We start from the raw sequence: 20624 nt of genomic DNA on the forward strand, positions 1-20624 counted from the left end.
TTATAACACTCTTTTCAGGAACTGGAGCCAACATACAAAGATTTTGAGGGGTGGGAATCATGACACATATCAACATGCCTCAAATATACACATCAAGCTAATTTCCTCACCAGTTAAAGTGGCTGAAATGTGGTCTTCTCATTGAGCCAGGCCAGGAGGAAACTGATCCGGATCCCAGGAGATTAAAACACGTGCAAGTCAAACGGAAAGCTCAGAGAGTGCTGGCTGGGTCCTGAATTGAATTATGTTGCCTACAGCTGGTGCTGTAGTCGTAGGGCACTGCGGACCACTGAGTTATTAAAACAGATATATTACTGCACAGGATCCATCCAGCAGGGCTGTTTCTGGTGGTGGAAACTTTTTTTTTCTTTAGACTGAGTCTCACTCTGTCGCGTAGGCTGGAGTGCAGTGGCGTGATCTCAGCTCACGGCAACCTCCGCCTCCCAGGTTCAACCAATTCTCATGCCTCAGCCTCTCCACTAGCTGGGATTACAGGTGCACGCCATCACACCTGGCTAATTTTTGTATTTTTAGTAGAGACGGGGTTTCACCATGTTAGCCAGGCTGGTCTCAAACTCCTAACCTCAGGTGATCCACCCACCTTGGCCTCCCAAAGTGCTGGGATTACAGGCGTGAGCCACCACGCCCGGTCTTTCTCTGGGCTTTTAAAAGTTCCACCAGGGCCAGGAGCAGTGGCTCACACTCCTCCTAAAGTACTCCCAGTACTTTAGGAGGCTGAGGCATGTGGTTCACCTGAGGTCAGGAGTTTGAGACCAGTCTGGCCAACATGGTGAAACCCCATCTCTACTAAAAATACAAAAATTAGCTGGGCGTGGTGGCTCGCACCTGTAATCCCAGCTAGTGGGGAGGCTGAGGCAGGAGAATGGCTTGAATCCGGGAGGCAGAGGTCGCCATGAGCCGAGATCATGCCACTGCACTCCAGCATGGGTGACAGAGTGAGACTCTGTCTCTAAAAAATAAGATAAAATAAAAGCCCAGAGAAAGAGCTGCAGACTTTATGAGACGCTAAGATTTCCTTCACTCCCACCAGGACCTGTGGCACAGGCCAGGCAGGCATGGAAAAGGCCAGATGAGGGACAGGCAGAGGGGCCCACAGTTATATCCCGGCGGGGAGAGCATGGGCAAGCTTCTAGCCTGTCGAGGCAGAATCTTCGCCCATTTGGGCCAGGGGCTCATTCACCAGGACTGGTGGCAGAAGGAGACGGAGGGGTGGCATCAACTATGTTCGATGGGCAGGCCATGCTGGCCGGGTCCCAGGGCCTTGGGGAGAAATCAGCCTTCAAAGGAAAATGCCACAGAAACTAACAAGAGCCCAGTGCCATGAGAGCCCCAGGGAGACAGGCAGCGGGCAGGGGTGTTCGGGGAAGGCTTCCTGGAGGAAGACAGCCATTGCTGAGCCCTGAAGGGTGAGCCAGGCAGACAGTCCAAGAAACCGTCTTCCTGGCTGAGGGACGGCACGGAGATGAGCAGGAGCAAAGCCTGCTGAGCCACGCATGGGGCCACACAGCCATCGGCTTCAAACCGGCATTGGGTGAGTGGCCTTCTCCCAGAAGTTTCAGTCTTTTGCTCTAAAATGGGGTGATAGGGCCTGCCCTGTCCCCATAGGGCCCCTGCAGGCACTTCCCTGGGGCTCCCAGGAGCATAGCCCCTGCACCCACCCTCATCAAACCGACCTGCACTGAGCTCCAGCCCTGGTTTCCACTACCCTTTGTCCCTATTGATCCCTCATGCTCTCTTTGGGGCACATTGCCTAGATCACCCTCCTCCAAACTTCTCACCAGGAAACTCCTCTTCAGCCTACTGAGGTGGCTGGCACCTCCTCCAGGGAGCCCTCCTGGTTGTTCAAGGTAACCTTAGATGCTCCCTTCCCTTGCCTCCACACACCTTCTGCCTTCCCATCTCAGCCTGGACCCACTGCACAGTGTCTGTCTCTGTCTCTTCAGGAGCAGCTTCTGGGAAGGTCTTGGGCCAGTGCTGTTGCACTCTACCTTCCCCTAACACCTCGAGTGCAGAGCGGTGCCTGAGGTACTTGTGGGAGACACACAAACATGGCCGCGGCTACCATGGGCTACCCAGTGATGACCATTGAGAGGGCTTCTTTGGCAAATGTTGTTGTTCTTGTTAGCGATGATGATGGTGGTGGTGGTAGTGAAGGTGATGGTGGAGGTGATGGTAATGATGGTGGTGATGGTAATGATGGTGGTGATGGTGACGATGGTGGTGGTGGTGGAGGTGATGGTGGAGGTGATGGTAATGATGGTGGTGATGGAATGATGGTGGTGGTGGAGGTGATGGAATGATGGTGGTGATGGTGATGCTGGTGGTGATGGTGGAGGTGATGGTAATGATGGCGGTGATGGTGATGATGGTGATGATGGTGGTGATGGTGGAGGTGATGATAATGATGGTGGTGATGGTGATGATGGTGGTGGTGGTGGTGGAGGTGATGGAATGATGGTGGTGGTGGTGGAGGTGATGGTGGAGGTGATTTTAATGATGGTGATAATGGTGATGGTGGTGGAGATGGTGGTTATGATTGTGATGGAGGTGGTGATGAAAGTAAGGGGGTTAATGGTGGAAGAAGTGGTAGTGGTAGGGGTGGGGGTGATGGCAATGATGGTGGTGATGGTGGTGATGGTGATGGTGATGATGATGATGATGGTGGTGGTAATGGTGGTGATGGTGGAGGTGATAGTAATGATGGTGGAGGTGATGGCGATGATTGTGGTGATGGTGGTGGTGGTGGAGGTGATAGTAATGATGGTGGAGGTGATGGAGGTTATGGTTATGGGGTGGTGGTGGAGATGATGGGGGAGGTGATGACAATGATGGTGATGGTGCTGGAGGTGATGGTGATGGTGGTGGTGGTGGTGGAAGTGGTGGTTATGATAGTGATGGAGGTGGTGATGGAGGTGGGGGGTTGACGGTGGAGGAAGTGGTAGTGGTGGTGGTGGAGGTGATAATAATGATGGTGATGGTGATGGAGGTTATGGTTATGGTGATGGTGGTGATGGTGGTGGTGGTGATGGTGGAAGTGATAATAATGATGGTGATGGTGCTGGAGGTGATAGTGATGGTGATGGTGGTGATGATGGAGGTAGGGGGTTTGACGGTGGAGGAAGTGGTAGTGGTGGTGTTTTTGTTGGTAGTAGTGCTGTTTTAGAGAATTAAAAAGAGGAAGAAGATCTCTTCTCCACCCACTGGGTCCAGTTTGGAACCTGGACATGCCCTCATCATGTTACAGTCTCTGGACACCAGCTGCCCTCTTGGCCATCAATTTTCCATGGAAGTGATGGGGTGATGGGGTGGGGTGCTAGGTGACCTCAGGGCACTCTTCTCAGTCCTGGGGTCCCAGGACCTCTTTTCTGTTGGGGGAGGGGAGGGGTCATTCTCTCCTTAGTGGGTAGAGTCGGGACCAGAGTTGCAGATCAACAGCTGGGCAGTAAAAGTGGGGGAGGCCAGCCCGTGCTCTCACAGCTGCCTGAGCCTGCAAGCCAGCAAGGGGCCTGTGCCGGGCTGGAGTCCACATGTCCCTTGCAAAGGATGGCCTGGCTCCCTGTGAGAGGAGGACGCAGGGGCAGCTCTGAGGTGAGGCTGGTGATATCCAGGGCCTCGGGGCACAAAAGCTCCTTCCTGGGACCCCGCCGACCCCATTTCCACCTCCTGACCAGACCCCGAAGATCGAGCCTGAACGCGGGGCCTCCCGGTCCCAGGATCCACTGCACGATGGGGCAGTGACACCAGCGCCTCCTGAGAAACTGGAGGTCTTTCCCCCAGGCCCCCAGGATTCACGTAGCTCTTCATCCCCAGCCAGTCCCTGGCCTCTGGCCCTTCACCCTGTCCTTAACCTTGGGGTCGGCTCTGGTTCCTCCGCCTCATCCCTGACAATGCCCAGCATGCCCACCAGAGGGCGCTCAAGGGCAGGGAAAGGACCTGGTTTGTGCCAGGCCTTGGCATGGGAGCCGAGACTCCTGGGACAAGGGGAGTCTGTCCCGCCCGTGGGAGACACAGGGCAGGAGAGTGCGGGATCTGGATTCCCAAAGACCCAGCTTCCAAGCCACTAGGCCGTATGACTCTGGCAAGTCCCTCGCCCCTCCGTAGTACTGCCTGCCTGGGGGGCTTCAAGGAGGGCCCGGTAGGACCGGGGGACACTTGGCTGCACCTCTATCCCATGTGGGGAGACTGAGGCCAGGTGGGGACATGGTGTCTGGGGCCTTTGCTGTCCCCATGAGAAGTAGGGTGAGTTTTTGAATCTGCAGTCCCCAGGGGGCTGAGGGGTCTGCAGGTCCCAGAAGCACCCCCTTGGCCGCCCAGGACACACAGCACACCGCAGCAGCCAGGCCCAGCCCCGAGGTGGCGAGAGAGGAGGTGTGGACAGGCCCTGTTCTGTTCCTCCATCCCCCTGGGTGCACGCCGGGACTGTTTCTCCTCAGCTTCTGTGAGCGGTGAGGAACCTCAGGGTGCAAGTGTCTGGTGTGTCCCTGTGGCCGCTTCTCCCGACTTACACGCAGGAGGGGACCTGTTCCTGTCCATGCCATGGTGGCTCTGGCTCTCTCTTCGGTGTCCACAGTGGCTGCACCATTTCACCTTCCCACCAGCAAGCGTGTGCACAGGCTCCAATCTCTCCACGCCCTCCCCTGCTCTCTCCGGCTGTGTGATTCTTCACTGTGGTTGCTGTCACAGCATCAGTGACAGTGAGTCGGTGCCGCACTGTGCTCCGTTCCTTCTCACGGCTGATTCCCACCCTGTTCTCTTCCCCCCCGGGAGCTCACGCTCAGGAGGGAGAGGGCTCCGGAAGCCACAGCCCCGCACCATGAGTGGCCAGGGCGAGGGAGCGGTGGGCCAGCAGGCAGGGGCGAGCTCGATGCCTCAAGGAAGGCTCCAGAGTTCACTCATTCCATGAGTGTCAACCAACAAGCAGCTCCCTGCGGGCCTTATGTGCCAGGCCTGGGCTGAGAGGCTCTGAAGTTACCAAAATCAGCACCAAAGTGTAGCAGTCCCCCTCAGTCCATGAATTGCTAAATCAAGCTCAGAGTCTAGCGGGAGAGACAGACCGGTCGGCCAGACAGACAGACAGACAGACCACCCTCCTCCAAGCTGGAAGGCACCTGATGCAACAGGGAGCGCCGAAGGCAGATCAGGGAGGGCTTCCCTGAGGCGATGCCACTTGGCTGAGTCTGAGAGGCGAGGAGGGGATAGCTGGGCCCTGGGAACCACCTGCGGGCCCAGGGTAAGTTCCACGTAACGCCCCGGGGGTGACACTTGGGTCAAAAGGAGGTCAGCAGCAGGCAGGGCTGGGCCTGAGGCCTGGGACAGAGCTGAGTCCTGGCCTATGGCAGTGGGGCCAGGGCAGGCACCAGGACCTCCAGGGTGCCCCGGTCCAGGGAAGGGACCTCCAGGGTGCCCCGGTCCAAGGAGGGGACCTCCAGGGTGCTCCGGTCCAGGGAGGGGACCTCCAGGCCATCCCAGTCCAGGGAGGAGAGCTCCAGGCCGCCCCCATCCAGGGAGGGCTGCTTGACTCTGGTCTCTGCTCCCTGCGCTGACTCAGAGGGCCGGTTCCGCTTTGTGGAGCTCAGTGGGGCCGCCCTCCTGCTCCACGGCCTGGTGGCCGGCTGTGGTCTATGCTGAGGAAGGGGAAGCCCAGGTCCATGCTGCCTGCCCAGGACCTCTCTGCAGAGCCTGCCTCTTCTCTTGGCCCAGGTCTGGCATCGGGGTGGGCTCCTGCAGCGGCCCCGCCCGTCCGGAGTATTTCCAGGGCCAGGGAGACGGGCAAGCACACAGGCACGTTGCGATGGGTGATGGAGGGGCGTGCAGGCGATGGAGGGGTGTGCAGGCGATGGAGGGGCCCACGCCACGTGGGTAGGCAGGGCCTGGGAGAAAGGGTGCCCAGGGACCACAGGAGCTGAGCCCTGAGGGTTCAGGGGAGAGTGCCAGGAGGGGGAGTAGGCAGGAGAGGAGGAACAAGAATGACTGAGGGGACCTCAGGACCCAGACAGGAAATCATAGCACAGGTCAGGGCCCATGTCTGGGGAGAGGGGACAGGAAGGGCTCTAAGGCAAGGATGGAGAGGCAGGCAGGCCACGGGAGGCCTCTGGACTGAGACCCAGATGCAGCAGGCTTGAGGGACCTCAAGAGAGGGCACTGCAGGCAGGGGCCCAGCCGTGCAAAGGCCCTGTGGCAGGAGGGCTGAGGTGCCACCCACACAGCCCGAGGGCAAGGGCTGCAGGAGAAGGGAGAGATGAGGTAGAGATTTTCCCAGGGCCATCCCTCCCAACTCGACCCCCTCCCCAACGGGGTCCCAGGGCCCTGCCATTTTAAGCCTGAAAGAAACCAGTTTGACTCAAACTGGAGGCATCTCCTCTGGGAATCTACAGCCCTAAATCACAGCGCCTGGGCAGCGAGTTCACTTCAGGACACACTGGTCTTCTGAGTTCTGTCTTCCTGTGTAGCTGGGGGGGATGGACAGCCCTGGCCCCGGGCCACTGTTCCCCGCCAGCGCATTGTCTGCCAGGCCAGCGGCGGAAGCAGCAGCTGCTGGGGCAGGCGGAGCCTGCTGGAGGAAGCCAGGGCCCCCCTAACCCCCGCCCTCCGCTGTCTCCACTTGCCCCACCCCCTCCACCACTGGAACCTGGGGGACAGAGGCTGGGCATGGAGACCCGCCCTGCCTCCAGCACGGGCCCCCCCAACGCTGGCCAGAACCCTCCCTGTCCTTCCACCCACCCAACTCAGCCCAGTCCCCTGTAGACTCTCAGGACCATCTGGTTTTCCAGCTTGTGGGTGACTGACCCACAGTTGCCCTGACTAGATGTCGGCCACCTCTCCGCCCAGAGGGAGGGGAAGAGAGAAAAGCCAAAGCCTAGTTTACAAGGGAAGTGACTCCAGGCCTGGTTGCCTCCTCCTCCCCAAAGAAAAAGAGTTCAGCTACTGGCCCTGTGGGAATCTGGACCCCAGACCTCAGGGGCAGGGACTGGGGGGATGCAGAGGTCAAACCTGGGAACCTGTAATGGTTCCCTGGTCCCAACGGCACCTGCCCTGAGCTGAGCCCTGAGCCTGACTCTACAGTCCCAACCCACCACCCTGTGCCTCCTACCCCTCCCCAACCCCAACTCTCGAAGCCAGGGTCACCGGACACTTCCCTCATCCTTTGAGGAAAGATGGTGAAGCCTCAGAGGCGGGAAATGGATTCAATTGTCCACAGCTGAATGTGTATGATCCTGTTCAGGTGTGAAAACTGAGTCAGTTCAGTGCCCGGTGGCACCTGACATTCACAGCATCCCTGTTGGAGTGCCCGCCTTGGACGCCATCTGTCCAGGCAGGTGTCCTCTGCGGGCTCTTGTTCCAGGCTGGCACGGCTGCCAAGTCCCCTTAATGGGCCAAGTCCCTCTGGATCACCCAACGCCTGGGTCACTGCTCCTGCGGCCACTCCTGGACCTGCCGCTCCTCATCCCCACCCCTCACCAGGGCCCAGCTGTGCACCTGTGCACAGCTCCCGCTGGCTGAGTTCCCCCAGGCAGTGGGCACAGGCCAGCCCTGCCCGGCCCGCAGAGCCCACCCTCTCCTGTCCTGAGGATCTGAGAGCCCTCTTAGCCTGGTCCCTTCCCCAGGGCTGGCAGCAGTGCCCCCCCAGGGGCCCTGGCTCTTTGTCTCCTCAGGGACATTGTTTGGAACGTAGACTCCTGTTGGCCAGGGATCTGGTTTCTAGACTCTTCTTTTGCTGTTTTCCTTCAAACGTTAGCCACGCTTTTCAAAGTATACTTTAACCTCAGACGCTGGCCGGCATCTCCATCGTCCCTTGCTGGGTACTGCCCTTGACCGTGCAGCTGCCTGGGGCTGGAGGAGGTGCAACCTTGGGGAGAAAGTCACATCCCTTCACCAGGCAAGGACAGCCAAGCCCACTGCCAGAGGAGTCATTGGGTTCAAGTAAATAATCAAATTGGAACTGTGTGTTCAATGTAAGCATCAGAGAGCCTGCTGTGCACCCTCCCCCCCATAACCTTCTGTGGCTCCCTGTCGCCTCCCTGAAGGCCTTGCTCTTCAGCACAGCACACTTGAGCCTCTGGGTCTTATTTCTCCCCTGTTCCCCCTCCTCAGGCACATGGGAGCCATGCCTCGTGCCTTTGTCATGTGGGCCCCTCTGCCCGATCGGCACAGGCTCACAGGGCCAGGTTCAAAGGACCTTCTAGACTCTTTGGCTTCAGAGGGGCTGTCCACACACCTGGCCAAACTGCTCCTCACAGCCACCTTTCCATCTGCTCTCCCCTGCCTTCCTTGCCCTGGCTAACCCTACTCAGCCCTCAGGTCTCACCACCTCCTCCGGGCAGCCTCTCCTGACAGCCTCCACCAGCCCCCAGACTCCCACAGCCCCCAGACTCCCGCAGAGGCCTGAGGTGCCATCTAGGGGCATTGTCCAATGACAGGGGACAGCTCAGAGGTGGGGGGATGTTCTGTATGCACTCCCTGCCTGCTGAGCTCAGGAGCCTGGGGGCCAGGCAGTTGGAGAAGCAGACAAGCAAATCAACAGCAGAAATAGAAATGACACTGACAGCTACCACCTGGCACCTGCCTTAGAAAATGCATTGAGCACAAAGGAAACAGACGTGCAGGCGGCCAGGCGACATTGACACTGCGTGGAGTAGGGGACAGGGATTCAAAGCCCAGGCTCCGGTGGGCGCGTCCCAGGCACCTGCTGCCGCGCTTCCCAGAGAGTGAAATTCGCCACTGTGGGGTGGGGGCATCTTAAGGGTTGTAGAAACCAAGGAGCTCAAAGGAAGGAGCCAGGGGTCGCCTTGTCCAGAAGGGATTTGGGGGTGCAGCAAAGATGCCGCAGAACATCAGAACATGTATTTAAAAGTAGAGGTGAAAGACCAAGGGAACGGGGAGAGAAGGTAGGTCTAAGTGGAGGCAGAGATAGGCCCACGGCTTTGGCTCCAAGCTTCCCAGTGGCAGAGGCAAAAAGGGAAAGGGGCAGTTTACACAAATTACTATTCTATGGGTACAATTAAAAGGCACCACATCCTACTCCTGATGCTTCCCTTCCATGGCGGACTGGGGATGGCACAGGAAAAGAGCGTGTGGAATTCCTTCCCATCCTGTACATGTTCGGAGCATTGCACTCTCCCGGGCTCTGGGGCTTCCAGGTGAAACAGCCCCTACCTGCCAGGCCCTCAGCCCGTACCTGTGACAGCCCCCTGCTTCGTCCTCACAACAGCCTGGGCACTTGAGGTTGGGGTCTCAGCTGTCACTCTTCCAACCCTATAAATGAGGAGGTGGAAGGAAAGAAGCCAGCACTTCATGAGGACATGGTGGTCTGTCTGCCCATGATGCAGACGCCGGCTTTGTGCAGGGACCCCATTCCTCAGCCCCACATGTGTGCACCTCTTTGGCCGGACCTGTCCTCCCATCCAGGTGCCTCCCAGATGAGGGGCCTGTGCTGAGGGACTTGGTTTTGTGTCTAGTGGCTGCTCCTAGCACCCTCACCTCTGTCCTCACCCAACCACTGGCCAGCTGGGCTCCTGCCTCCCTGCAGGTAGGGCAGGTGCGGAGGGAGCACAGCCCTGAGCATCCAGTCTTTTCAGTCTGGCCAACCCCCAACCCAGTGGCTCTGAAGGTGCCTGGAGAACCAACAGCTCAGGACCCCGCTGGGCAGACCAGGCCTCTCACGTGGCTGTAAGAGAAAGTTCCTCCACCCCACCCTACCCCTCGATGTCTCCTGCCCCTTCCACCCTGGGCAGATGATGGCTCCATACAGGCCAAGCCTGGATGCAGGTGGATCCAGGCCAAGGACACGGGGGTCCCCTGGAGTGAGCACAGATGGTGGCATTCGTTTGACCTGCTGTGGCCTCTAGAGCCCCGAGCCACGTGGGCCAGAAGGTGCAAGAGTGTTCAGGGGAGACCAGGGAAGCCTTGGGGCTTCTCCAGTTACCCCAAAACATAGACACTGACAACAGCCACTTTCTTATGCTCCATGGGTCATAGTGGGAGTGCCTGGTTTCTGTTCCCCCCAGTGGGGGCCTCAGCTAGAGGGAGCTCCAGGGCTGGGCCAGAATCAAGGTTTCCTCACTTGGTATCATCTGAGCTCCACCAGCCAGCACCCCTGGAGAGCCAGGCAGATGCAGGGGCTTTCCCAGCCCAGCCCAGTGCTCACATGGCACCTCCACCACCCACTCACGGGGTGGTCACAGGCCCAGTTGACCCAGGGGAGAAGCATTAGCACCACCCTGGATGGGGCATGGTGTGGCTCTAGGAGACGCCTTGGATGGGAGATCCAGCCCTTCCACAGCATCCTCCACTCCTGTATCAGGAAATCCGCCCTTTGCCCTGGCAGCTTTGCCTGTCCCTCACTGGAACATGCTCCAGCCACCAGGCTTGCATCTTCAGAGCCCCGCTGCCGCTTTTCTCTATGCCTTCCCAGCCCCTCACTGCACCTGCTCCAGCTGGCCCAGAGGCCGACCCTGTGGGCACGTTTGCCAGCTCCCTGTGCTGGGACCTGTCCGTGGCCTCTGCCGGCGCGAGGCACTGGCAGGAGGCCTAAGGGTCCCTGCCACCAGTGGCTGCAGCTACCTCCCCGTTTGGCCACCAGCCCCAGAGAACGGCTCCTTCCCTCCTAGCTTTTCCTGAGCTGGGCCCACGCCTTTGTCCTGTTTTTAAACGCTCCTCAAGTGGCCCAAATTAAGGGGCCACACTATCTGCTTCCCCCAGGGAGCCAAGAGGGCTGCCAGCTGTCACTCGTGGGACTCCGGCCAAGGGGCCCCTTAAGACTTCCATGGAGAAGAGCTGCTTTGAGACGGTCACTGCCCTCGTGCTGGCTCAGTGGGGACAGGGCTGCAGGGTCTAACTCCAGAAAGACTCGGCCCCAGCAGGGGAGCTGGCGCCAACCAGACAGCTGAATCAACAGCCACCGCCATGGGTCCAGGCCCCCTGCAGCCTGGCGGCCCCACACGCAGGACTGGGGGCTGCTCAAGGCCAAGGGTGGGGCTGTACTCCTCAGTGGTGACGGCAGCAGCCCCCTACCCCCTTGCCCACCCTGGCTCCTGTGTCCCACAGTGAGGTCTCTCCGGTGCACAGCCTGGGTGAGGGGTTGGTGGGTCCAGATGGCACATTCAGACCCTACATCCCCAGCCTAGCAGAGCAGGGGGCGTCAAAGGGGAAGGAGCAGTGGGGGGAGGAACGAGGGGTGGGGGTGTGCTTTGGAAGCCTTGAGAGTTGCCCTGAAGGCTTGAACCGCCCCCAGGGCCAGCAGGAGAGCCATTACCATAACCAGGCAGGGTCCCCTTTTAAGAAAACTGCCCTGGTGGGCTGGTTGCGGTGGCTCACGCCTGTAATCCCAGCACTTTGGGAGGCTGAAGCAGGCAGATCACGAGGTCAGGAGTTCGAGACCAGCCTGACCAGCATGGTGAAACCCCATCTCTACTAAAAGTACAAATAATTAGCCGGGCATGGTGGCGCGTGCTTGTAGTCTCAGCTACTCAGGAGGCTGAGGCAGGAGAATTGCTTGAACCCGGCAGGCGGAGGTTGCAGTGAGCCGAGATCGTGCCACCGCACTTCGGCCTGGGCGAGTGAGACTCCGTCTCAAAAAAAAAAAAAAGAAAAGAAAAAGAAAACTGCCCTGGTGGCCACTGATGGAGAAATGGAGGGACAGAGGCCAGGGAGGGAGACTCTCGCTGGGGCATGGAGGGCTTCCGGGCAACAGTGCAGCCCAAACAGAGTGGGCCTTGGCCAGAGGTGGACAAAGCCAGATGCTGAGGGTGGGGTGGGCACAGCGAGAGGCAGCCACACTAGCTGCTCCCGCTGGGCCAGGCCTGGTGGATGGTGTCATCCTCCCTCACATTCCTGGATCTCAGGGACACCACTTCCCCAGGCTCAAGCAGCTGAGTCATGAGTGTCCTCCCTTCAGGGGACCCAGCCATTGGCTTGGGTAGATTAGTTCTGATTTAACCCCAAAATAATGACTTAGTGGCTTTCCTAACTGCAGCCAGCTTTGCAGGGCCTCCGAGCTTTCAGGCCACCTCCCCTCCCAGATGCCCTTGAGCTGGACCTGAGAAGACCCGCCCAGAGGAAGGCGAGGAAGACTCCACAGGGGTGACAGGGGCCCAGACACCCCCTATCTGCATCAGGACCCATGTGAGCAGAGCTCACCCTGTTGTCGCCCTGGGCACTGTGGCCATCTGCCAAGGGACAGATAGATGGACCTTCCTAGTCCTCAGGCCTCAGGCCATCCACAGGGTAAACCCACATCCACCCACATCTCCTGGAGCCTCCCCCGCCTGGGAATGGGAGCGAATGACCCCATCACACTGGTCTGATGGATGAGTGAGCAGCACCCAGGAGGCCGGACGCGGGAGGCTTGGCCTGGCCGGCAGGGAGTGGGCGCCCTGGGCTGGGACCGGGTTTCCTGCTCCCCTCTGTCTAGGCTTTTCCTGGGGGACCTGGCCTTGGAGGCCAGCGCCTGAGGGCCCCGCAAGACAGTCAGTCTTGCTGTCACTCCCAATGCCATCTTGTGTCCCCTCTCCCCAGACCCCTCTGCTCTGGGAGACTGGTGAGTGAACACCTCGTGAGGTGCATCCTGTGTGGGCAGGATTCCGACCAAGTGCTCCGACGTGGAAGGAAAGAATGCACACTCAGGCAATCTGGGTGTGACCACCTTGCTGTCCTGCGATCTAGGGGATGAGAGGAGGTGACAAGGCCCAAGGGGGTCATGCCGCAGACATGCCCAGGCCCGGCCTGTGTGGTCAGCTGAGGGTCCTTTAGCTGCCCGTCTACTGTCCTCAGGTAGGATGCCTCGTGCTGGGAGCCAGGCCGCCCAGCACCCTTCCAGCCTCTGCTGACTCCAGCTGTGTGTCGTCGGGCATCTTACTCAACCTCTCTGTTTCTTGTCCTTCTGCGCCTAGGGTCATGATAGACCTTGCTTCCCAGCAAGCATGGAAGAGGCTGCGAAGAACAGCTGGTGCCCAGGAAACTGGGAAGCCCTGGCTAGGTCTCAGTGCTGTGGCTGCTGGTGTTCACACCATGGGCCAATGCTAGGGATTCACAGAGGCAGGGGATGGGGTCCCTGCTCCAGGGTTCTCCCAGTCTGAGGGGCAGACATGTGACTGATGTCAACTCTCCTGGGTGGCCTGGGGTGAGAGAGAGTGACTCATCCCTGGGTGCCTTGGGGACGGTGGCCCTAGGAGGGGACTCCCCTGGCCCTGAAGAGTTGTGTGGCATCCCAGGTAGAGGGGCTGGAGGGGTAAAGCCCACCGCCATGCTCCGAGCACGCTGAGGGCTTGGTGTGAGAGTGTGGTGGATGTGGGTTGGGTGGGCTGCGAGGCCTCCAGCCTCCCACCTGCCTGCCTTTATTGATTTCCAGGGATTCAGGACCTCAGACGCTGGGCCGGTGACAGGCCCCTGGGATTCTGGTCGCAGTCCAAAGGGTCTCTGGCCACCCTGGGCCTGATCAAGTCCTCCCTCTATCTGGATCTATTTCTCCGTCACCAAAAGTTGGCACTTGGGTTTAGTGGCTGACAGCCCTTCTGATTCTAACAGGAAGTGGCTCTGCAGGGTTCCGTCACGCACGCGCTGTGCTGGGGGTCCAGGAGAGGGCTCTAGGAGTCGGACGGTTGGTGGGGGAGGATGGAGTCTGGCTGCAGAGCCCAAGCATGTTTTGTGGGGGCCCGGCGGGTGAAGGGTGTCACAGCGATGGAGGTGCAAGGTGATAGATGAGAGAGGCAGTCCCAGCACAGGAACCCAAGCAGGCAGCACCTGCATGGCATGGCTCTCCCGCCCTCCATTCGCGGGGCGGCCTCCCATCCTCCATTCTGATGGTGACATTGAAAATGAAACGCCAGGACCCCAGCACCTGCATGGTGTGGCCCTTCCGTCCTCCATTCTTTTTTCTTTTACTTTTTTCTTTTTTTTTTTTTTTTTGAGACAGAGTCTTGCCCTGTCGCACAGGTTGGAGTGCAGTGGTGTGATCTCAGCTCACTGCAACCTCCGCCTCCCGAGTTCAAGCGATTCTTCTGCCTCATTCTCCCAAGTAGCTGAGACTACAGGCACCTGCCACCATGCTTGGCTAATTTTTGTGTTTTTAGGAGAGACGGGGTTTCACCATGTTGGCCAGGCTGGCCTCGAACTCCTGACCTCAGGTGATCCGCCTGCCTCGGCCTCCCAAAATGCTGGGATTACAGGCATGAGCCACCACGCCCGGCCTCCATCCACCCTTCTGATGGTGACATTGGAAATGCCAGGACCCCAGGGGTTCAGGTGGCCAACCCAGCTTCCAATCCACCCGTGTAGCCCCATGTGCCATGCCTTGGGTAGGTTGCCAGGGTTCTGAGCCTCTCCCTCCTTGTGTGAAAGCCCCTCTCCTGGATCTGGGCAGAGGGTGTGCACAGCCTCTGGAAGTGGCCTGGCGGGCGTGGGGGCTCAGTGAGCACAGGGCCTGGGCTTGCAGGTGAAGCCCGAGGAGGTGGTATGGCTCCACCTGGCTGCCCTGGGGACCCAAGGTGCGGGCATGGGCACTGGCCCTCTGCCCCAGGAGAACGGCTGCCGGCCTTGACATCTTGGCGCCTCCCCCGCTCCCTCAGCCCTGTCCCCTGCACCTAGGGCCCTGTAGGGGCATCCCAAACTGGCACCTTATTCCCGTGAACTGGGCCCTTCTCTTCAGTTTCCCTCAGTTAGGAAGCCAGGTCCCGTCTTTCTTTCTTTCTTTTTTTTTTTTTTTTTTTGAGACAGTCCAGCTCTGTCGGCCAGGCTGGAGTGCAGTGGCATGATCTCAGCTCACTGCAACCTCCATCTCCTGGGCTCAAGCAATTCTCCTGCCTCAGCCTCCTGAGTAGCTGGGATTACAGGTGTGTGCCACCATGCCCAGCTAAGTTTTGTATTTTTAGTAGAGACAAGGTTTCACCACGTTGGCCAGGCTGGTCAAGAACTCCTGACCTCAGGTAATCCGCCCGCCTCGGCCTCCCAAAGTGCTGGGATTACAGGCGTGAGCCACTGTGCCCGGCCACCAGGTCCCATTTTAGTGACCACCCCCACACCCCGAAGAATAATAAGCCTCGACCTTCCCCACCCACTCCTCCCCTCCTAGAGCCTGAAGCCCCAGGTGGCTGTTGACTGGAGGGGAGGGGAGCACTTTCCACTGGAATATCTGACTTCAAACCTCTCCGGCCCCAGCTTCCTGCAGGCTCTGCCCCCTGAAACTGACAACCCAGCTGTGAAGCGGCAAACATGATCATCCCTCTCTTGTGTGTGGGAGGGGTGAAGATTCAATGAAATATCACAAGTGACACTCTCACCCAGGGCTCCCAGAGAGGGTGGCCCCAGCCCTACGACACCCATGGCCCCAGGGGAGCTCATGACTTTGAGGGTGTCGGTGACCCTGGGGGTGCCCTGGCTCTGGACTGGGCCACCATGTGTCACTGCAGCCACCAGGGGGCAGCAGAGGGGAGCTGTTCTGCTTTCAGGAGCTGGTGCCTGTGCTTCCTGCAAGGAGGGGGGACAAGAAGGCCCCCGGGGTCACTCGAGGCCAGCAGAGGAGTCCAGACTCCGATCCCAGCTCCACTGCTGCCTCCCGCACGCCTGGAGCCAGCCCGGCCCTCATCTGTGCACGCAGGGTGTGCTGCACCCCACCAGGCATCTCCAACTCGGAGATTCAGCTGCAGCCCTGGCCGTCAGACCCACGGGCCCTGAAGTCCAGGGGGCCCTCTCGCCCGCCTCCTGTCTGCAGATGGGGAAATTGAGGCCCAGCCAGGGCAGGGGATTTGCCGACGTTTCGCAACAAATTCGAGTCAGAAATAGGCCCAGCTGGGCCTGCCGGCGCGGAGGCCCGCTCGGGACACTGCTGGCCAACGCAGGGCCCAGCACGGTCCCAGTCACACCCACAGCAGGGTCCTGCCAGCCTTCTCCGCTCTCCCCTGGGGGAAGTGACCCTCCTCCACCTCCCAGAGCCCACGTGAGTCCGCAGGAGGCCCCCCTGGGCCAGGTGCCAGGTGCCGAGTGGCTGCCTCCAACTCGGGGGCTGCTATGCAAGGATGTTTCCAGTTCTCCGGGTCCTTCCTTCCACCTGGGAGGTCCGGGGCTGCCGGGCCATGCTGGTCCCTGTGGCCCTAGGGCCCGCCCAGCGCAGGGCCTGGCAGGGAGAGGGGGAAACGTGGGTGAGGGAAGTGAGTCACCCCTTGGGACACTTCCCTGCTCAGTTCCTGCCTCTCAGCAGCTTCTGCGAGGCAGGTCACACCTGCAGGGGAGCCTGGCAGCGCTAGGAGAGGCAAGGGGTGGGGGTGCCGCCTTTTCATGGGGCCAAGAGGGGCCCTGAGAGGGACACCGGGTGGACAGCCCCAGGGGCCTCCTTGCTCGGCCAGCCGGCATCTCCCCCTGCTCCCAGCATAGGAGGGCCGGTGGCCTGAGTGCTCTGCTCCGTGCCCGGAAAAGACTCATGTTCCAGGAAAAAGCCGCTTGGCAGGTCGGAGCAAGCTCATGGTGCTGTTCCCAGACCCGATGCGATGCGTGTGGAGGGAGGCCTGCCCTTGCCCCCAGGGCTGCAGGGCGAGAACAGACCTTGATTCCTGCTATAACCCTGGGCACGGCCTCTGTTTCTCCGCGTGTGCCCGGGGGCGGCGTGTTCTCAGGGCAGGGGCCTCTAAGGATCAGAGTGAGGCTGCAGGCCCAGGCTGAGGCCTGCACCACCTCGGCCGGGAGATGAGTAAATGTCTGGGTCCCCCTGGCCACTCCAGAGTGAGGCCGCCAAGCCTCCGGCCTGAAGTCCGGCTCCTGTTCTCAGCCTGCCAGGCCCTTGTGCGGTGGCGTCGGGCAGGCAGGGCAGGGAGGCCACGGCAGCCATCTTCCCGGGGAGCTGGGGCCTGGCCAGCAGCGTTTCCCAGTGGCCTCCTCCTGTGCTCCGAGCTGCATTACCTCATCGGGAAGCCATTCCAGAAAGGAGCTGCGGAGCCCCTGGGAGTGGGAGTGGGGAGAGCTGCGTCAGCGCCCTCCTGGCAGCCTCGGTGCCAGACGAGGGCAGGCGTCACGCCTCCGGGTGTCTGCCTGCCGAGCGACTGCTGGGAGAGCAGCTGGCTTTTGTCAGCGTTTCGGGGTGACCGGGCTGGGCTGCAGCAGGCAGGTGGCGTGGCACGGCCCATGGCCGGCCAGCTACCAGGTGGGCAGAGGATCTATTTCAAGAGCCGGAACCAAATGGCCAGGCATGAGGGGAAGCCAGGTGCAAACTCAGTGGCAGAGACCAAGCCCTGACCCCGCAGTCCCAGGCCTCAGTTTCCCCTCAGGCCAGCCCTCCTCCCAGCACCTGTCCTCTGCTTCCTATAGCCACAAAGAGCACCAGACACGAGTGAGCAGGTGACTACACTCCCTGCTGCCCGCTGGTGTAAGCCAGAGGCCCTGCCACCCACAGCTGGCCTCCAGAGGCCTTTCTGGACCACAGGGTCAGGGCTGAGAGGGGTGGGGGTGGCAGGGGCAGCTGAGGTGCTGGAGAGGGAGGACAAGCTTCCTGCCTGTGGAGGAGACAAGGGCAGCTCCCAACCCTGCTCCTAGCCTTCCTGCCAAGTTTGGATTCCAGAAACACCTCTTGGTGCCTCAGTTTTCTCATCTGTTTTGTGTGTGTGTGTGTGTGTGTGTGTGTGTTTTGTAGATAGGGTCTTTCTCTGTCACCCAGGCTGGAGTGCTGTGGTGCGATCATGGCTCACTGCAACCTCTACCTCCTGGGCTCAAGCAATCCTCCCGCCTCAGTCTCTCGAGTAGCTGGGACCACAGGTGCACACCACCATGCCTGGCTAATTTTTGTTTGTTGGTTCATTTTTGTAGCGACAGGGTCTCCCTATGTTGCCCATACTGGTCTCAAACTCAGCTCAAGTGATCTGCCCGCCTCAGCTTCCCAAAGTGCTGGGATTACAGGCATGAGCCACTGCGCCCAGCCCGGCTTTCTCATCTGTAAAATGGGTTGACAATGCCCACCCAGATAATGGTTGAAAGGACTCGTGAAACCACGTAGGAGGCACAGGCAGACAGGCACTTGTGGGGGTCCATGAATGAGCCTCAGTGCCAGCTCCCCCAGGCCAGCTTCCAGCCTTCACACTGTCTGGGCCAGAGGAGTCTTCCTAAAACAGAGGACTGTGTGGAGCACTTCTCCACAGAGAAGCCTCTTGCCTCAAGTCAGTGACACTGTCCTCCAGCCCCACCCAACTGTACATGTGCCCAAGCTCATCATACTTTTCCTCAAACCCTGTCTGTCAGGAAAACTCCTACTCACCCCGCAAAACTCCATGTGAGATGCCCACTCGCTCATCTAAAATGCCTCACAGGATTACTCTAAGAACCAAAGAAGAATATACATGTGTGAACACATGGGCATGGTTGCCAAGTGAGGGGCATCACATTCATGACTGTCCCCATTACTTATTAGAGCAACCATAACCAAGAATGCAGCGGTGGGCAGGAAGTGTTACTGGGGATAGGAATTAGCAGGAAGTTTTTCTGGCTTGGAATTTAAGCCCAACTTTGGCAGATGGCAGAATTTTCAGAGAGGAAAGGAGGAAATTGGAGGCTAGTGTGGCAGTGTTAAATATGGCTGCAAAGTCCTTGGTCCTTCTCCCATTGAAGCGTGGGCCCTATGGCCTCTCCTCTTGAATCCAGGTGGGCTTGTGACTACTTCAGCCAAGACAATGCGGCAGAAGTGTTGTTGGGTAACTTCCAAGGCTCACTCATAAAAGACCATATGGCTTATAACTTGGAGTCCTAAGTTGCCATCTAAGAAGGAAGTTCAACAACCTGAGACTTCCATGCTGTGAGGAAGCCCAAGCTCCATGAGGAGTCACATGGGGGTGCACTGGTTGACAGTTCCAGCCTTCCAGCCAGCCCAGCCCAGGCACCAGCCATGCGAATGCAGAAGCCATCTTGGAAGTGGATCCACCAGCAGCAGGTGTCCCGGCCCCCAGCCATTTGAGTTGTCTCGGGTGAGCCACTGAACCACACAGAGTAGAGTGGAGTTGTCCCTACTGTGCCCTTTCAGGACAGAATTCCTGAGCGTAATAAAGTGGCTGTAGTTTTAGTCACTGTTTTGGGGCTGTTTGTTATGCAGCACTAATTAACTAGAACAGGTGAGAAGATCAGAACTTCCTGGTGCTTAAAGCCAGCCACACAGCCCCTCGAAGCAAGATTGTCTTAATCTGGAAGTCAGTCCCAAGAACAGGTTCTCCCCAGTGCTCTCAGCATTCCCCACCCCAGCCTGGCCCATAAGCAGTGCTTGGGGCATGCGGGGTTGCTGGAGCACTCCCAAGCCACTCCCAACACCTGGAAGGAGCCTCCCCTCCTCAGGATTCTCAGCGGCGTTTGCAGCTTGGATGACTGTGGACCCAGAAGCTCTGGGGAGTTATCCAGGTTCTATGTGGCATGAGTATCCCTCTGTGCCTCAGTTTTCCACCCATGGAATAGGGCACGAAACTCATAATCTCTCTGATCCCTCTCGGCTCCTACCCCACCTTCCTGGAGGCCTTGTTCATTCTCATGTGTGTCTCCCCCACATCCTCTTACCCATGTGACTCTGCCTGCCATGAAAGCAGGAGTCATGACTGCAGTCTCACGGTTGAATGTTCTGCACCTGGCACCCAGCCTAGGCCAGAGGATGGATGCCACACCACTGGTGTTTTCTGAATGAATCAATGAGTCAGTCAATAAATGGAGTGAATGAATGAACAAAAGAAAGAACTCTTTCTATACTCACTCGATCCATTAATGTCCCCTCCCATACAATAAAGATTCCCTTATAGCAGCCCTAGGAGTCTACCCTTGCATGCCTCACATGACAGGGAACTCACCACCTTTCAAGATAGCCTATTTCCTGTTGGGGCAACTCAGGTCAGAGAGTATTTCCCTGAGCTGGCCTCATCCCTGGCCCCTCCCCAGGAGAGTGGCTGGGGGAAGGAGTGCCGGGGGGCAGAGGAAGGAGCCCTCAGTCCCCATGGTCCACAGAGCTTGCGTCTGGTGAGTGCTGAGAGCAGGTGGAGGGACTCCAGAGCTCCAGAAACCCCTTGGCTCTCTCTGTGCTGGGCCCAGCTGAAGTCCCAGGGTGGGCGGGGGCAAGACAGTGAGTCCTGCTCTGCCCAGGGCCCAGCTGGGATAGGGCCAGCGCACCAGGAGGTCCACAGAGGCAGAGAAAGCAACCGAGCGGGAGCGGAGCTGGGGCAGGACAGGTGGTCTGTGCTGTTTCCATGGCTCCGGTGCCTCTGCCTGCCTCACTGGCCTGGGAAAAACAAGCCGGGCACTGAGCAAACAGCGCCTGTGACCGCCCCGGACAAAGGCTGGGCTGTTTAGGCAACCGGACGGCCAAATGGGCCTCCCTGGCGGAACACCGGTTTAGACTGGGCCCGTCGGGGCTGAGTTGCCAGGCCCCACAGCCTGTCCCTTGGGTCTCTGGGGAACAAGCTGGGGCTGGCGGTGGGGACAGGGAGTGGAGGGGAGAGGCTGGGAGGGCCGGGGCAGGCACTACCCCAGTTCTGCCCTCTGGCACCCAGTTCCCTTGCCCAGCCATTCAGGAGAATGAAGACAGCAGGATCTCAGCGGATAAAGGAATAGGGTTTCTCTGTCCAGCCACAGTGACTGGGGCTCAGCAGCAACATATCCCGTGG

At 59.2% G+C, this 20624-nt stretch overlaps 1 pseudogene across 1 annotated transcript, besides 6 other annotated features; it reads left to right on the top strand.

The window, feature by feature from the left end:
• Positions 1476-1975: an enhancer, noted in NCBI's record as "H3K4me1 hESC enhancer chr22:46388443-46388942 (GRCh37/hg19 assembly coordinates)". NCBI's record gives its function as "activates a minimal SCP1, AML or CMV promoter by ChIP-STARR-seq in naive H9 embryonic stem cells {active_cell/tissue: H9 hESC(naive)}" and the evidence as "EXISTENCE:reporter gene assay evidence [ECO:0000049][PMID:30033119]".
• Positions 4092-5010: an enhancer, noted in NCBI's record as "H3K4me1 hESC enhancer chr22:46391059-46391977 (GRCh37/hg19 assembly coordinates)". NCBI's record gives its function as "activates a minimal SCP1, AML or CMV promoter by ChIP-STARR-seq in naive H9 embryonic stem cells {active_cell/tissue: H9 hESC(naive)}" and the evidence as "EXISTENCE:reporter gene assay evidence [ECO:0000049][PMID:30033119]".
• Positions 5365-5514: a silencer, noted in NCBI's record as "silent region_13891". NCBI's record gives its function as "represses an Ori minimal core promoter by ATAC-STARR-seq in GM12878 lymphoblastoid cells {active_cell/tissue: GM12878}" and the evidence as "EXISTENCE:reporter gene assay evidence [ECO:0000049][PMID:35858748]".
• Positions 5974-6643: an enhancer, noted in NCBI's record as "H3K4me1 hESC enhancer chr22:46392941-46393610 (GRCh37/hg19 assembly coordinates)". NCBI's record gives its function as "activates a minimal SCP1, AML or CMV promoter by ChIP-STARR-seq in primed H9 embryonic stem cells {active_cell/tissue: H9 hESC(primed)}" and the evidence as "EXISTENCE:reporter gene assay evidence [ECO:0000049][PMID:30033119]".
• Positions 9947-10116: an enhancer, noted in NCBI's record as "active region_19230". NCBI's record gives its function as "activates an Ori minimal core promoter by ATAC-STARR-seq in GM12878 lymphoblastoid cells {active_cell/tissue: GM12878}" and the evidence as "EXISTENCE:reporter gene assay evidence [ECO:0000049][PMID:35858748]".
• Positions 15190-16181: an enhancer, noted in NCBI's record as "H3K27ac-H3K4me1 hESC enhancer chr22:46402157-46403148 (GRCh37/hg19 assembly coordinates)". NCBI's record gives its function as "activates a minimal SCP1, AML or CMV promoter by ChIP-STARR-seq in primed H9 embryonic stem cells {active_cell/tissue: H9 hESC(primed)}" and the evidence as "EXISTENCE:reporter gene assay evidence [ECO:0000049][PMID:30033119]".
• On the top strand, positions 15529-19690 carry LOC730668 (dynein heavy chain -like pseudogene; annotated as a pseudogene). Its single transcript, NR_027240.1, has one exon. The product of NR_027240.1 is annotated as a dynein heavy chain -like pseudogene (transcript).
• Positions 19691-20624: the final 934 nt, after the last annotated feature.

Source organism: Homo sapiens, chromosome 22 (genome assembly GCF_000001405.40).
Source record: "Homo sapiens chromosome 22, GRCh38.p14 Primary Assembly".
NCBI lineage: Eukaryota > Metazoa > Chordata > Mammalia > Primates > Hominidae > Homo > Homo sapiens.